This window comes from Homo sapiens, chromosome 1, assembly GCF_000001405.40.
Source record: "Homo sapiens chromosome 1, GRCh38.p14 Primary Assembly".
Classification (NCBI taxonomy): domain Eukaryota; kingdom Metazoa; phylum Chordata; class Mammalia; order Primates; family Hominidae; genus Homo; species Homo sapiens.
The window spans coordinates 918,819-932,422 of NC_000001.11; the positions used below are offsets into that span (position 1 = coordinate 918,819).

Genomic DNA, 13,604 nt, shown 5'->3' on the forward strand with positions numbered 1-13,604 from the left:
ACTGACCTCCCCTTGCACTGGGCAATGTCTGCTGAAGATAAGGACGTCTTCACTGGGCCAGGCCTGGAGTTCTCCCAGATCGTGAGCTTTCCTCTCTCTGATGAAGAGGATACCTGTGGTCAAACTCCTACAGAGCACTGGGGACAGGAAGGCAGGCAGAGTCCCACCTGGGCAGGTGGTAGGAGTGGAAGGAGCAGGCAGGCAGCAGGGCTGCCCAGGGCTAGGAGTCTGGCTGTGAGCAGGGCCCACCCTCCCCTGGACACAATGGAGGACCCCGTGTGTGGTTTTCACTGACTGAGCACCTATCTCGTGCCAGACATGTGGGATTGCCGGTGAATTAACAAAAGCCCTGCTCTCAGGGGGCTCCCATCCCAGCACATACACCGTCACATCTGGGGTCCAGCCTGGACCCCCCCATGCAGTTGGAGAGGGTCTCAGAACCAGGTCTGAGAACAGCAACTTCCAGCCACGGCACCCCACCCCTCCCCAGCTGGCCTGGGCTCCAGCTCCTCGCACCTGAGGCTGCCTGTGCAGGGCCCCCGGCTGGTGCCCCTCTCCTCTGAAGCTCGGGGGTCGCCACAGCCTGGCACCCTCATCGGGCCTGTTACGCACGTTCTGGTCTCTCCGTGCCCACAGACCCGCCAAGCTCACCAGCCAATGTGCAGCCAGCACAAGCCCGACCTGCTAGGGGCCTCAGAACAAGCGGTGTGGCCCGAGGCCGTCACACAGCACCTGTGCTGAGAGTGAGCTGACGTGGACGGCGGCACCGTGGCCGTGGCAGAGGCACCATCCCTCCACCCTCACTCATGTAGGGATGTGGGGCACACGGACTGGAGCCCAAGGCCTTCGTGCTGGGCCCTGGCTCTGCACTCGGCTCCCAGAGTCTCCCACCCAATGTCAGAGAGGGTGCCGCAACAGTGCTTCGGGGGCTCCTGTCATGAGGGCTGAGGACCACCTAGGCCCACGTCCGCCCAGCAGGTGGCAGCTGCATCCCCGGTCCCCTCCACAACCCGGGCCAGGTCCAGGCTGCAGGCCGCAGTGTTGGCAGGGGGAGGAGAGGGTGAAATTGGCTGAGCCCATCCATTGGGACAGACCCTCCCGCTCCTTGGGGCTCTGGAGAACTCTATTCCTTCTCTTTGCTTAACCTCAAGGTGCTGGGGCCTCTGGCTGCTGCAGCATTTACAGAGGAATTGTCTGGGATGTGCCGGGCCGAGCACTGTAGCTCTCGCCGGTGTCTGCGTCAGCACGCTAGTGACATGGCAGGTGAGGACCACGGCACCGCCCCTGCGATCTGGCAGTCAGAGCCCACCTGTGTGTCTGCAGGAGCATCCCTGACTACACACCACGGGACGGCAGGGAAGGGTCCCTCGGGCCCCACCCCTTTGTTCTTTCAATGGTAAAGGTTCAGGTCGGTGGACAGACTGGACTTGGAAACACCTTCTTGCGTCCTCGAAACGACGTGGCACGCAGCCAGCTCACAGCACCCAAAGGCACGGGCAAGTTGCATCACGGCAGCCCCTCCTGTCTGACCAGGAGCAGGTGCGTTCCTGAGGTCCTGGCCACTTCTGCAGGAGCGTCCGAGGGAGCCCAGCTGATATACCACAGCCCCTGACCTCCCAGGTTAGCCTTTCCATCCAACAGCACCAGGACTGGACAGGCCACCTTGGCTGAGGATCACGTGTGCCTGGGTCTGGGCGGTGCTGATGCCCACAGGCCCTGAGTCTGTGTTGCGCACAGGCCTTGGAAAGCAGTGCACATCCTGTCTGCACCGGTGTCTATAGTGAAGCCATCTTTGTCCGTGTGGCCATGGGAGGGTCTGTCTGTGCTGTGTGTGTGTCCTGCGCGCGTCGGGAGCTGCTGCGCCACACACAGGCACGCAGGGTGTGGGCACACCTGTGCTTCTGAGCCCACGTGCCCTTGCCGGTGGCCAGGCACACACACAGCTGTGCATCCTTGGCCCAAGATCAGCTGTGCCACACCTGCAGGCTGCAGGATCTTTTCTGTATATCTCCCTCCATCACCAGAAGTAAGCTCAGGACTGAGGCTGACAGGCTGGTCTGAGCGCTGCTCACCTGCACCTCCTGGCTGCACCTGTGGCCCCGGACTCAGCTTCCCCATCTCTCTCCTCCCCACCCCACCTCTGGGTCATCTCCGGCTGGGGCTGTACCACATCTGGGCTCAATAAATGGTTGATTGATTGATGAGGGGATGGATGAGAAGGGCTCTAAGAGAAATGCTGGGGAGCCTGGGCAGGCACTCCCGGATGGCGGAGGCGGCATGCGGGCTGGGGCAGCGGCCCCTGGCGCCCCCACACTCCCCCAGGACGTCTGGGGTCACCGTCTGCTCCATGGCAGCCCCAGGGTTATTTATGACCTCCTCCCTCTGGCGGCGGGAGGCAGGCTCCAGCCTCAGCCCAGCGGCGGAGGGGCCCCAGCAGGGGGACCCGGAGCAGCGACAGAGGCACCAAGGCCCAGGCAGGCGGGGCTCGGTGGGCCGGAGGAGGGGCGGTGGAGTCCACACCGCCAGGTCCCTGCCTCGCTCAGGATGATTCCAGCGCCAGAACTCCGTTCCTCTGGCCTCTGCCGCCAGCCTGAGGAGTGCAGGGGAGAGTGGGGCCCAGGTGTCCCAGACCAAGACAGGTGTGTGAGTGGACATGGGACACAGGTGTGGTAGTGGAGGACACGTGTGAGCAAGTGAACACATCACACAGATGTGCGAGCAGACACAAGACATGGGACACAGGTGCGCCAGTGAACACGGGACTGGTGTAAGCCAGCGGGCATGAGACACGGGTGTGAGCGAGTGGACACGGGACACGTGTGAGTGGGCACGGACAGTACAGGTGTGAGCGAGTGGACACGAGACACAGGTGTGGGAGTGGACACAGGTGTGTGGGAGTGGACACAGAACAGGTGTGAACATGGACACGGACACGGGTGTGTGTGAGTGGACAGGACCAAGGAAGGGGCACAACCCCGTGGAAAAGGGTGATGCTGGGGGTGAGGAGCCTGGTCCTGTGGGAACGTGGCCTCTGAACGGGTGCCTGCTTCCCAGGAAGACAAGGAGGTGGTGGGGAAGGCCTCCTCACCCAGCCCCTGGAGGGACCTCCAGAACATCAGGGAGTGGACAGTGAGGATAGAGGGGTGCCTCCAGCTTTGGACCCAGTCAGGGTCTTTTCTGGAAGACACCATGGGCCCCGGGTAGGCCCCCACACCCAGCCAGAAACCCAGGGCCAGCCCCATGCCCCTCCTTAACCACACTGTGGGCCTGAGCATGATGAGATGCTGGTGAACAGGGGAGGGCTCTTGGAAGGGAAAGGAGGCCCCTCTGCTGGCCCAGGTCAGAGGAGAGGCCTGGCCCAAGGGCCTCAGACCCTGAGAGGCACTGCCATGCAGACCTGCGCCTCCCCAGCCTCCCTCTCCAAATCACTGTGTGAACATCAGGGAGTCAGGTGCAGGCGAACCTAGAAGGAGGGTCAGGTGCAGGTGAACCTAGTAGCCCACACACGGGCAGTAGGGTCAGGGCTGCATCCAGACAGTGGGCACTCAGGGCCAGTCCACATGGCCTCCAGCTGGCCCCAGGAGCAGACTTTCCACATGGTATCAGACCTGGGAGAAGACACAGACTTCAGGAGAGGAAGGCACAGGAACTCACTGGCAGCCACAGCTGGGGTCAGGGATGTGCTGGTGTCCTGGATGCAGACAGGTTGATAGGGCCAAGGGTGGCCACATAAGGAAGGGTCACCGACACTCACACCCACACTCCTACCTGGCCCCCCAGACCCCAACAGACCAACGAGCCCCCACAGAACAGGGCCAGGATAGCGGGGGAGGCTTCTGGGCATGTTCCTTGCCTGAGCAGAGCACTCCTGGCCCAGACCTCACTCCGCGGGTTGGCTGTGGGACCAGCAGAAGCCTCTGGTGAGATAAGGTGAAGGAGCCCAGCGTGGTCACCCAGGGTCAGGTTTATGCTCAAGGAAGCTGGTCTGGCAGGAGGTGGTGGTGGGCTGTTCCCTCCCTCGAAGAAGGCACCTGTGCAAACAGGCCTGTGGCCCACTCACCCCTGGACCTGCTCTGGGAGATGCCCACAGGGACATGCCAGCTGCATCTCAAGGGCAGGGGCCAGGGTCAGAACAGGAGGCCCCTTTCTAGTGGATGCAACACCGCACAGCAGCGCAGGACAAGGCTGTCTCACCTGCTGTTACCAACGCCCCCAGGTTGTGTTTCTCTTCGGAACGCTCCAGATGCAATGCCGATCTGGGCACGCAGGGAGGTGGGGGGTGATGGGAAGCTCACCAGGAACCAGGGACTGGGGCCCAGACTGACCTGTCAGAAGGCACCAAGGTGGACGTGGTGTGGCCGGTCCTGCTTCACTAGCCTTGCTCCTCCTAGTGGGAGGCCGTGCACTCTGCCAACCCGCTATCCCCCACCCTCACCCTGCCTCGGATCCACACCACCTTCCTGCTGGGAGGTGTGGGGTGACAGGAAGCTCTTGCCCCACACCATGGTCCTGGCGCGGTCCTGGTGTGAGACATCCTGCATTTGAAACAGCTGTGTGACTTCAGGAGAGTTACTTGACCTTTCTGTCTCAGCGTCTTCTGCAAAAGACTGAACAGGAACTCCGTGGCTCGGGCGAACTCACTCCTGTCAAGTGCATAGGAAGGGGCACGAGTGGGCGGGGAGGTGCTGCCCTGTTATTCACAGAACACTTTGCCCAGGCAACACACTACAAATCCACAACCTCGCTCCCTGCAGGTGCACTGAGACCACCCACGCCCTCCCGGACACCAACGCCCACCATCAGATTCGCTGCGCAAAGTCCCAGAGCCGCCGGCGCACGCTCACACCCCGGCGAGCAGCCCCCAGCTCCCTCCCTCCGAGAGGAGCCCGGTCCGCGACCAGCCCAGCCCATCCCAGTCCCGCGCGGAGTCCTGGATTCCAGCCGCTCGCAGTGACTCGGTACTCGGGATAGTGCCGGGGGCCGCAGCCCTGTCCCGCTGCCGCCGCCGGATGCCCCGAGTCGGCCGTCACGCACCCCCCGCGGGAGCCCGCGCCGCCCGCCGCGCCGGGGCCGTTTAAATGGGCCAAGTTGTGGCGGCGGCGTCGGCGGCGGAGTCTCCCAAGTCCCCGCCGGGCGGGCGCGCGCCAGTGGACGCGGGTGCACGACTGACGCGGCCCGGGCGGCGGGGCGGGGGCTTGGGACCCCCGAGAGGGGCGGGGACTCCGCGACTCCTCGCTGCCGGGCTCGGCCTGGCGGGTGGGTCGGCGAGCCGGGCGTGGGACTGCCCCGGGCGCGGGCGCTGGTGGCCGGGGCGCGGGACTCCAGACGCCCCGGGGAGCCCCGAGGCCCTGGAACTGCGGCGCTCGGCGAGTCGATCCGGGATCGATAGCAGCTCCATGTCTCCGGCCTCTGAGGCCCCGCCGGCCGGCTGGGCAGTCCGGGGAGGCCTGGCGGGCGGCGCGTAGGCGGCGGCTGCGGGCGCCGGGGCGCACTAGCGGACGGCGTGGGCGCGCGGCCAGGCGCCTCCCCGGCCCCCGCGACCCAACTCCAGCCCGGGCCGGAATAAGTTGCTGCCGCCGGCGGAGAGCGGGGCTGCGGAGCCACCGGGGCGCCATGCCGGCGGTCAAGAAGGAGTTCCCGGGCCGCGAGGACCTGGCCCTGGCTCTGGCCACGTTCCACCCGACCCTGGCCGCGCTGCCGCTGCCGCCGCTGCCAGGCTACCTGGCGCCACTGCCCGCGGCGGCCGCCCTCCCCCCGGCCGCCTCGCTGCCCGCCTCGGCCGCCGGTTACGAGGCTCTGCTGGCCCCGCCGCTCCGCCCCCCGCGCGCCTACCTCAGCCTGCACGAGGCCGCCCCGCACCTCCACCTGCCCAGGGACCCGCTGGCCCTCGAGCGCTTCTCGGCCACCGCGGCCGCGGCCCCGGATTTCCAGCCGCTGCTGGACAACGGCGAGCCGTGCATCGAGGTGGAGTGCGGCGCCAACCGCGCGCTGCTCTACGTGCGCAAACTCTGCCAGGGCAGCAAGGGCCCGTCCATCCGCCACCGCGGCGAGTGGCTCACGCCCAACGAGTTCCAGTTCGTCAGCGGCCGCGAGACGGCCAAGGACTGGAAGCGCAGCATCCGCCACAAAGGTGCCGCCGCCCCTCCCTTCGCTGCCGGGACCCGCGGGCCCCGACCCCACCCCCTACCCGACTCGGACACCCGGGAGCCTCCGGCTCGGCCGAGGGGGCGCTGCAGCTCCAGGGCTGCGCGGGGACACCCCCGCCGCGCGCGGAGGCCTCGGTGAACACGGACAGATCGCCCCCCGCTGCACCTCCCCCCAGCTTGGGCCACAGCGCTTGGGGCTCGCGGGCCGCTCCCTCCGCTCGGAAGGTCTCTGCGAGGCTCCTGGGCCTTAAGGCCCGAAGGAAGTTTACGGGGACTCGAGAGAGCGGGCAGGAGGCGGGTTGGGAGGGCGCGGAGCCCCGGGTTCGGGGGAGACTGGAGGGGCGCACGTGCGGCCGGGTGCGAGCGCGCGGCGGGGGAGGCTGCGGGGCGGCGCGGGGGCGCGCGCGGAGCCCGAGCGGCGGCGCCAGGTCACACAACCTGTTTTGGCGCCTGCGGGCGCCTGGGCCCAAGGGTGCGACGCGGGGGCGCCTGAGCCGGGACACAGGGGGTGCGGTGAGCGCCAGGCGCCGCGGGGAGTTAAAAAGTTCGGGACCTGAGCGGTGCGTGGTTCCGCGGTGGCCGCCTCTTCCTGCCGCGCAGGCCGAGGGTCCCGACGGCGCCGCTCACCGCTCCGGGACTCAGCCTTTCTGGGCCCGGCCTGCGGTTCCCTCGGGGCCGGGGAGAGGGTGGAGCGCGGGAGGAGGGGCGCCGGGTGGGGACGCCCAGGCCCTTCGTCGGGGGAGGGCGCTCCACCCGGGCTGGAGTTGCAGAGCCCAGCAGATCCCTGCGGCGTTCGCGAGGGTGGGACGGGAAGCGGGCTGGGAAGTCGGGCCGAGGTGGGTGTGGGGTTCGGGGTGTATTTCGTCCACGAGCCGGGGAGGGGGTACTGGCCCTGCCGCTGACTGCGCGCAGAAGCGTGCCGCTCCCTCACAGGGTCTGCCTCGGCTCTGCTCGCAGGGAAAAGTCTGAAGACGCTTATGTCCAAGGGGATCCTGCAGGTGCATCCTCCGATCTGCGACTGCCCGGGCTGCCGAATATCCTCCCCGGTGGTGAGATGCGGGGCTCGGTTGGGGCTGGGAGTTACTCTCCCCTGCGGAGCTTGTCCCTGCGGTTTTCAGGGTTTTCAGGATCGAGAGTCCTAACCTCACCCCTGCGGGTGTGCTGGAGGGAGCCTCCGAAGGGCAGGGGGAAGCGGCTTTACCTCGTGCTCTCCCAGCCCTTCTACCTGGACGGGGGAGGAGTCCTCGGGCACCCGAGCGCCCTCCCCGGTGGAGACAGGGGGGCCGCGCTTGTCTTAGAGCCTCCCCTTGGGTGCCTTTTAGCTGCTTATCCTCGAGTCCTGGGTCAGGGTCTTCTCCCTGGGAGGAGTAATTCAACGTGGGCCTGGCACTGTGCCCTGTCACCGCTTGGGGGTCACCGTGTTCTCTGGCCCAGCTGGTGAGGTGTGATTCTGGGACGACAGCATTTTGGGGAGCTACAGGCTTGGGTGTGAGTGACTTGTGTCTCTGGGTGCTGAAGGCCAGAGGGTGCAAGGGCCTGGACGTCGAAGTGTGTCCTAGGGACGCAGAGGCTAGCCAGGGGCAGAGTCTTTGCAGTGTGGGCCTTTGGTGTCCAGGGAACTGGAGTCGGAGGCTGGTTCAAGGCCCCAACCCAGGGTAGACAGCTATGGACACCCTCACTGAGGGAGCAGGCAGGAGAGACGGGGATGCTGGGAGCTGCCTTCTGCTCAGGGAGGCACCTGCACCCCCTACCCAGTCTCCAGCCCCCTAGTTGGGCAGCAAGGGTTAGAGGATTGATCTGAAAAGGAAGAATGCCTGTTGGGAAGGACTAGTTTGGAGCCAATTAGGGCCATGGCTGCTGGGGGTGGGGGCTGCAATTCCTGACACACTCAGGAACCCCTTCTTCCAGGAAAGGGTAGGAGAGGCAGAGGTGCAAAATGGGCCTGAGGGTCCCGGGCGTACCTCCGCTTGCCTGCTTTGGGCCTGAGGTAGGATGGGGGAGGGGATGCCCAGGGGCCTGTGAGCCATGAGTGCCGTAGCCAGGGAGCTGGGCGGCTGCAGACACACCTGTGAAGACGGCTGGTCCCTCAGACATACAGCATGTTGGGCAGGGGAAGGGGACACAGCCGCACCTCACCCATGTGCCCACCTGACACACAATCCGACATGGACCTGCACGCACAGGCAGGCAGCTCACAGAGTTCCCAGGCAGGTGTGCAGACAGCCGGCAGCCCCCTGTCTGCTGTCACAGACCTACCCGGGGCAAGAGGCCCAGTTCCCTCCTTTCAAGCAGCTGGTGCTGGAGAGGGCTCCTCTGGGCAGCCCGCTGCCTAGCCTTGGGTCTCTGTTTGGATTTGAGCGGCCCCCTTGAGGGCTCCCCCAGGAGTGGGGAGCACACAGCCTGAGCCCAGCGTCAGTCTCTTCCGACAGTGCTTCCGTGAGCATCTCCTCCCCACCCCGTGGCCACAGCCAGGAGATGCCCCCCCACCTGGGGCTCCCAGGTCCCTGCCCTGCGTGAGGGACGGCTCAGATCCAGGCCTGCCTCTGCCAGTCCCTCCCAGGCCTGTCCCACACCCTTCCCCTAGGAAGCAACTCCAGGGGCCCCTTCTTTCCAGCCCCCATGTTTCTTACTCAGAGGCTGTCTCCCCCAAGCCCCATGCCAAATCCGCAGGCATGTGCACCTCATGGTCACAGATGCTCCGGGGCAGAATATGAGTGTGTATGTGCCTTGGGGACCCTGCACAGGGGCCCTGCAGGCCAAGCACCTTCCAAGAGGAGGTGCTGTCAGGGGCCGAGTTTTCAGATCTGTGTGCTGTGGCCGAGGTCTCTAGTGTGGAGGAGGTGTGTTCTGTCCTTGGGCAGGGTGGGTGGCAGGGAAGCTGTCCTGGTCCTCAGCACCCCCATCAGCCACTCCAGACCTGCCCTCCAGGTGCCTTGGGGCGTGGCTGGGGTGCCGGTGTGTCCCCACGCCCGACTCTGCGCATCACGGGGCTGAGGCTGGTATACAGCCTGGGCTCCATTCCCAGCCAGCCCTGGCCTCCTTCCAAGGGGCAGTCTTCTGGTCCTTGCTTCCCTCTCTTCCCCATCCCACAGACAAGAAGCAGAGAGCAAAGCATTGTGTCTTCTCCTCAAAAGAAGGGAGGTGGGAGGCCGGGTGTGGTGGCGCATGCCTGTAATCCCAGCACTTTGGGAGGCCGAGGCGGGCGGATCACGAGGTCAGGAGATCGAGACCATCCTGACTAACACGGTGAAACCCGTCTCTACTAAAAATACAAAAAATTAGCCGGGCGTGGTGGCGGGTGCCTGTAGTCCCAGCTACTTGGGAGGCTGAGGCAGGAGAATGGCATGAACCCGGGAGGCGGAGCTTGCAGTGAGCCCAGATTGTGCCACCGCACTCCAGCCTGGGCAACAGAGTGAGACTCCGTCTCAAAAAACTAAAAAAGAAGAGAGGTGGGAGAGGAGAGGCTGTCAGAGCCTCTAAGCCCTGGTGCTTGGGCTGCAGAAGGGCAGAGCTAAGCGGGACTTCCCAGCACAGCACACTCCGGACAGGCTGTGGCTGTTGAAGGGACCCCCGAGCTCCAGCTGACACGCGGAGGCCCGGGCACAGACAGGCATCATACCTTCGGCCTTGGCCGCACTCTGTGGTCATTGGTGTTGGGGGCAGCCCAGGGTCAGGGCAGGGTCTCAGCCTCGGACCCCAGGCCCCACCCCTTGCCCAGCAGTGCTGCGTTTTCCCAGTGAGCTGTCGTGGAGAGAGCAGAGGGGACCCAGCGCAGGCCCAGTGGCCGGTGAGGGGAGACGTGGCTCTGGGACGGGGGCCTCCACCTGGGTGGGGGGATGCTCCAGCTTCCAGACCCTTGGGGAGGGGGCACTGCCCAAACTAAGCTGGCACTGGGGCTGTGCATTTGAAGGTGATGGTGGTTCTAGGTCTGAGGAGGACACCCTCCTAACAGCCTCATCCCCAAGCTCCGGGCTGTGTTGTGGCAATGGGAGGGAGGAAGTCTGAGGAGACCCTGGTGACTGAACGGAGGAGGGAGTGAGTTAGACGCTCTCAAGGGCTCTGCCACCTCCCGGAGCCAGCGGCCTGTTACTACATTTAAAAAAGCCTCCCGCCCACTGGAAAATAATCAATAACTTTCCTTTATCCCTGGGGGTGGCAGGACCTAGAAACACTGGAGGAGTCCGGAAGTGCCTGGGGCTGGGCCGGCGCTGGTGTGCTGTGCAGGGTGCCGCGGGCACGTCCGCCGCGTGTGTGCGTCAGCTCGGGGCTCGGCTGTGCTCTGCAGGGACCACAGCGGGCGTGTCTGTGCTCCCACCCGAGGCACCCACAGCTCCACACGCTCGTTCCGTGGGTGCAAAGGAGATGGGAGAAAGAAGCCCTGTGAGAAATGCGGGGCAGGGTTTGCGGAACAGGGGACCTGGGCTGGTGAGGGCTCCTCGTCTGGTGACCTGTGAGCCCCGGGGCCTGCAGTCTGCGAGGGTTCAGCTCAGACAGTTGCCAGTGGCCTTGCACCAGGCTGCAGCTGCCCCTGAGCCGGGCTGTGCGTGGCGCTGATGAAATAGAAAAGGGCATTCGCTTGTCAACGTTGGCATCGGTGGCAGGGTGTGGTGGGCAGAAGGGTCACAAAGTACGGGTGGGATTGGCAGGCAGATACACGGAGGGAACGTGCGCATTTGAGTGCACGTCCACCAGCACCAGCCCCAGGCCACAGGCAGATCCCAGGAGACACGCAGGGGCCCTAAGAAGGGAGCTGGGAATGAGGGGCCACACAAGCCCGGGACGGAGGCCTGTCGCACATGGGGTGGCCCCGACTCAGGCCCTGGAGTTGGCCAGGACCCTCTAGCATCCTCAAGGGCTGGGCCAACCAGGCTGGCGTGGGGTGGGGCAGGGGAGGGCTGAGCCAGTGGGCGTCGTCTGTAGGGGGATGCCCAACTGCGGCCCCGTCTCTCGGCTCTCCTCTGGGTCTCTGGCCAGCTGTGGCTCCTGCTGGCCCCAGGCGCATCCCAGAGGCAGGTAGAGGGAGGATGGCTGCTCTGAGGGCACCTCTGCCGTGCTTGGGGCTCGGCCTGGGGTGCGAGACCAGGGCAGACCCCCGGGAGATGGAACGGCCCGGTCCAGCCCCACCTTCCTCTCCTCCTGCCCCACCTTCCTCTCCTCCTGCCCCACCTTCCTCTCCTCCTGCCCCACCAGAACCGGGGGCGGCTGGCAGACAAGAGGACAGTCGCCCTGCCTGCCGCCCGGAACCTGAAGAAGGAGCGAACTCCCAGCTTCTCTGCCAGCGATGGTGACAGCGACGGGAGTGGCCCCACCTGTGGGCGGCGGCCAGGCTTGAAGCAGGAGGATGGTCCGCACATCCGTATCATGAAGAGAAGGTACTTGGACCAGGGCCGGACAGGAAGGCGCAAGGCTCAGATGGGGCTGGAGCTTCAGGCCTTCAGCTGCTCAGATGAGAGTGTCCACACCGGCCTCCCACACCTTCCCTCAGATGCTGGTCTTTTTGGGGTCCTGTGTGGGTCGCAGGCAGGAGCTGTTTCCTCATCTGCCCCCTGTCTGGCGTCCCCTCCCACCTCTGCTCTGCGGCGCTCACTGGCAGAGGCAGGTTGGCAGCAGTTGGGACCCAGAGGTCTGCACCTTCCTGGGCCGACGCTCCAGCTACCCTTGCTGACCGGGTCCCAGTCTGGCCAGAGAGCAGCTCTAGCAACAGGGAGCTCCATTCAGGCTCGTGACTGGCTGTGCAGAAGCAGCCTCGGCCCCCACCTGCGGTACAACAGGAGGGCTCCTCTGAGTGCACGGCAACAAGCAAGAGGGAGAAGGGGCCTCGGTCCTGTTCTTCCTGATGCGTGTCTGCTGAGGCCAGGAGCTGGCTTTGGCCCATGGGCCTGTCCTAGTGGGAGGCCCCAGCATGTTGAGCCAGTAGCAGGTGGTGCTGGGCATGGCAGCCGCCCTCGTTCACTGCCCAGGGCTGTGGCCCAGCGGGGCACTGACCCGAGACAGGTCTGCGCACGCCCTGCTATCCTGAGGCTGGGGTCAGGGGCCTCCAGAGCAACATGGACCTTCTGCTTCCCTTCCTGCAGAGTCCACACCCACTGGGACGTGAACATCTCTTTCCGAGAGGCGTCCTGCAGGTAGGAGCCGTGCTGTGCGTGCATAAGAGGGGGCCGTGACTCCCCTCCCTCCCTCCCACCCCTGACCGTGCCCTGCTGTCTGCTGTCCGCTGTCTCAGCGTGAGCTGATGCTGTGATGCTGGCTGAGTGTCTGCCAGGTTTGACATGTGCTGCAAGGTTGTCCCCCATCCCGGGAGGCAGACAGTGTTGCACCCAGTTGGGACTGAGGGACCCCAGACCCAGTCAGATGCAGCTCTCGGCAGCAGCTCAGGTGTGAGTTCTGGGCAGCCCGGCCCTGGAGTTAGAGTGCACTTCCTCCCATGTGAGACTGGCCATTTGAGCCCAAAAATGAGGCTGTCACCTCCCCCTTCCCACCCTCCTAGAGACCCACAAGGAGGTGAGAATGCTGATGTGTGAGTGGGGCCCTGAAGGGTGTGTAGGAGCTCTAAGGCGAGGGGATGTCTGCAGAGTAGAGGAACAGGGAAGGGCGTGTAGGAGGGACGAGGAGTGAACCTGGCAGCTCTGGTTCAGTTGGATGCTGAAGAGTCATGGATGCTGGGCCTGTGGGCACCGTCCTCCAGGCGGGAGCCACCGAAAGTTCTTGAGCAGGGCAGTGACCAGGTGTATGTTTGGAGAAGGTCCCTCTGGAGGCCTTCCTGGCAGACAGGGGATTGGATTCAGGCTGTGGAAGCAGGACGGTAGGGGGTGTGATTCCAGGATGTGGAAAGGAGATAAAAATGAAGAGCCCCGGGGAAGAGGTCAAGGGAGTTGGGGGACCCGAGTTCCTGGCTCCAGGGGGAAGCGAGTGGTAAGTCTGTGAACAGAGCCCAGCTGTGGATTCTGTCAATGGGGTCAGGTCTCACCCTGTGGCTTCCAGGGCAGCAAGGCAGGAAGGAGGCGTCTGCCACAAGGCCAGCTTCCTGGGGCCAGAGCCGTGAAGGCCCAGGGGACCTGCGTGTCTTGGCTCCACGCCAGATGTGTTATTATTTATGTCTCTGAGAATGTCTGGATCTCAGAGCCGAATTACAATAAAAACATCTTTAAACTTATTTCTACCTCATTTTGGGGTTGCCAGCTCACCTGATCATTTTTATGAACTGTCATGAACACTGATGACATTTTATGAGCCTTTTACATGGGACACTACAGAATACATTTGTCAGCGAGGCCTGTAGGGAAACCCAGCCGCGGTCCCCCCGACCCCGCTCCAGTAACGGCTCCTCCTGCCTGCAGCCCCCTCCTCCGTCTGCCTGGCCTCGGGAATGCAGCGTCCCTCGGCAGCACTGACGGCAGACAGCCTGGGGTGCCCTAGGAAGAGGCCAGGTCTTCCATCCTGCACGGGCCCTAGAAGGGG

General features: G+C 64.8%; 1 protein-coding gene and 3 long non-coding RNA genes across 8 annotated transcripts in view, besides 6 other annotated features; 2 read left to right on the forward strand and 2 right to left on the reverse strand.

Annotated features, from left to right (window-relative positions):
* Positions 1–874, reverse strand: part of LINC02593 (long intergenic non-protein coding RNA 2593) — a 2,875-nt gene extending 2,001 nt beyond the window's left edge. For both annotated transcript variants that reach the window (NR_122045.1, NR_026874.2), the window contains exons 1-2: positions 517–874; positions 7–97 (exon numbers count right to left, since the gene is read on the reverse strand). This is a non-coding gene — a long non-coding RNA (long intergenic non-protein coding RNA 2593). The remainder of the gene's footprint in view (positions 1–6; positions 98–516) is intronic.
* LOC284600 (uncharacterized) overlaps positions 1–2,201 on the forward strand; it is a 16,209-nt gene extending 14,008 nt beyond the window's left edge. For both annotated transcript variants that reach the window (XR_007065340.1, XR_007065342.1), the window contains one exon: positions 1,152–2,201. This is a non-coding gene — a long non-coding RNA (uncharacterized LOC284600). The remainder of the gene's footprint in view (positions 1–1,151) is intronic.
* Positions 1,372–2,308: an enhancer, noted in NCBI's record as "H3K27ac-H3K4me1 hESC enhancer chr1:855570-856506 (GRCh37/hg19 assembly coordinates)". NCBI's record gives its function as "activates a minimal SCP1, AML or CMV promoter by ChIP-STARR-seq in naive H9 embryonic stem cells {active_cell/tissue: H9 hESC(naive)}" and the evidence as "EXISTENCE:reporter gene assay evidence [ECO:0000049][PMID:30033119]".
* On the reverse strand, positions 1,425–6,786 carry LOC107985728 (collagen alpha-1(III) chain-like). Its single transcript, NR_168405.1, has 5 exons — positions 6,700–6,786; positions 4,457–4,643; positions 4,195–4,325; positions 3,854–3,917; positions 1,425–3,691 (listed from the first exon to the last, which is right to left on the reverse strand). It is a non-coding gene; the product is annotated as a collagen alpha-1(III) chain-like (long non-coding RNA).
* Positions 4,150–4,728: an enhancer, noted in NCBI's record as "H3K4me1 hESC enhancer chr1:858348-858926 (GRCh37/hg19 assembly coordinates)". NCBI's record gives its function as "activates a minimal SCP1, AML or CMV promoter by ChIP-STARR-seq in primed H9 embryonic stem cells {active_cell/tissue: H9 hESC(primed)}" and the evidence as "EXISTENCE:reporter gene assay evidence [ECO:0000049][PMID:30033119]".
* The window catches only part of SAMD11 (sterile alpha motif domain containing 11), a 20,652-nt gene continuing 12,152 nt past the window's right edge, over positions 5,105–13,604 (forward strand). For 2 of the 3 annotated variants that reach the window (NM_001385640.1, NM_001385641.1), the window contains exons 1-4: positions 5,105–6,130; positions 7,104–7,195; positions 11,337–11,518; positions 12,221–12,271. In NM_001385640.1, the coding sequence (NP_001372569.1) occupies positions 5,614–6,130; positions 7,104–7,195; positions 11,337–11,518; positions 12,221–12,271 (842 nt within the window). In that variant the 5' untranslated portion in view covers positions 5,105–5,613. Of the gene's footprint in view, positions 6,131–6,912; positions 6,983–7,103; positions 7,196–11,336; positions 11,519–12,220; positions 12,272–13,604 lie in introns of those variants that run through there. The other variant, NM_152486.4, reaches the window with a different exon arrangement.
* Positions 6,394–6,940: an enhancer, noted in NCBI's record as "H3K27ac-H3K4me1 hESC enhancer chr1:860592-861138 (GRCh37/hg19 assembly coordinates)". NCBI's record gives its function as "activates a minimal SCP1, AML or CMV promoter by ChIP-STARR-seq in naive H9 embryonic stem cells {active_cell/tissue: H9 hESC(naive)}" and the evidence as "EXISTENCE:reporter gene assay evidence [ECO:0000049][PMID:30033119]".
* Positions 9,897–10,398: an enhancer, noted in NCBI's record as "H3K4me1 hESC enhancer chr1:864095-864596 (GRCh37/hg19 assembly coordinates)". NCBI's record gives its function as "activates a minimal SCP1, AML or CMV promoter by ChIP-STARR-seq in primed H9 embryonic stem cells {active_cell/tissue: H9 hESC(primed)}" and the evidence as "EXISTENCE:reporter gene assay evidence [ECO:0000049][PMID:30033119]".
* Positions 11,206–11,706: an enhancer, noted in NCBI's record as "H3K4me1 hESC enhancer chr1:865404-865904 (GRCh37/hg19 assembly coordinates)". NCBI's record gives its function as "activates a minimal SCP1, AML or CMV promoter by ChIP-STARR-seq in naive H9 embryonic stem cells {active_cell/tissue: H9 hESC(naive)}" and the evidence as "EXISTENCE:reporter gene assay evidence [ECO:0000049][PMID:30033119]".
* Positions 11,707–12,207: an enhancer, noted in NCBI's record as "H3K4me1 hESC enhancer chr1:865905-866405 (GRCh37/hg19 assembly coordinates)". NCBI's record gives its function as "activates a minimal SCP1, AML or CMV promoter by ChIP-STARR-seq in primed H9 embryonic stem cells {active_cell/tissue: H9 hESC(primed)}" and the evidence as "EXISTENCE:reporter gene assay evidence [ECO:0000049][PMID:30033119]".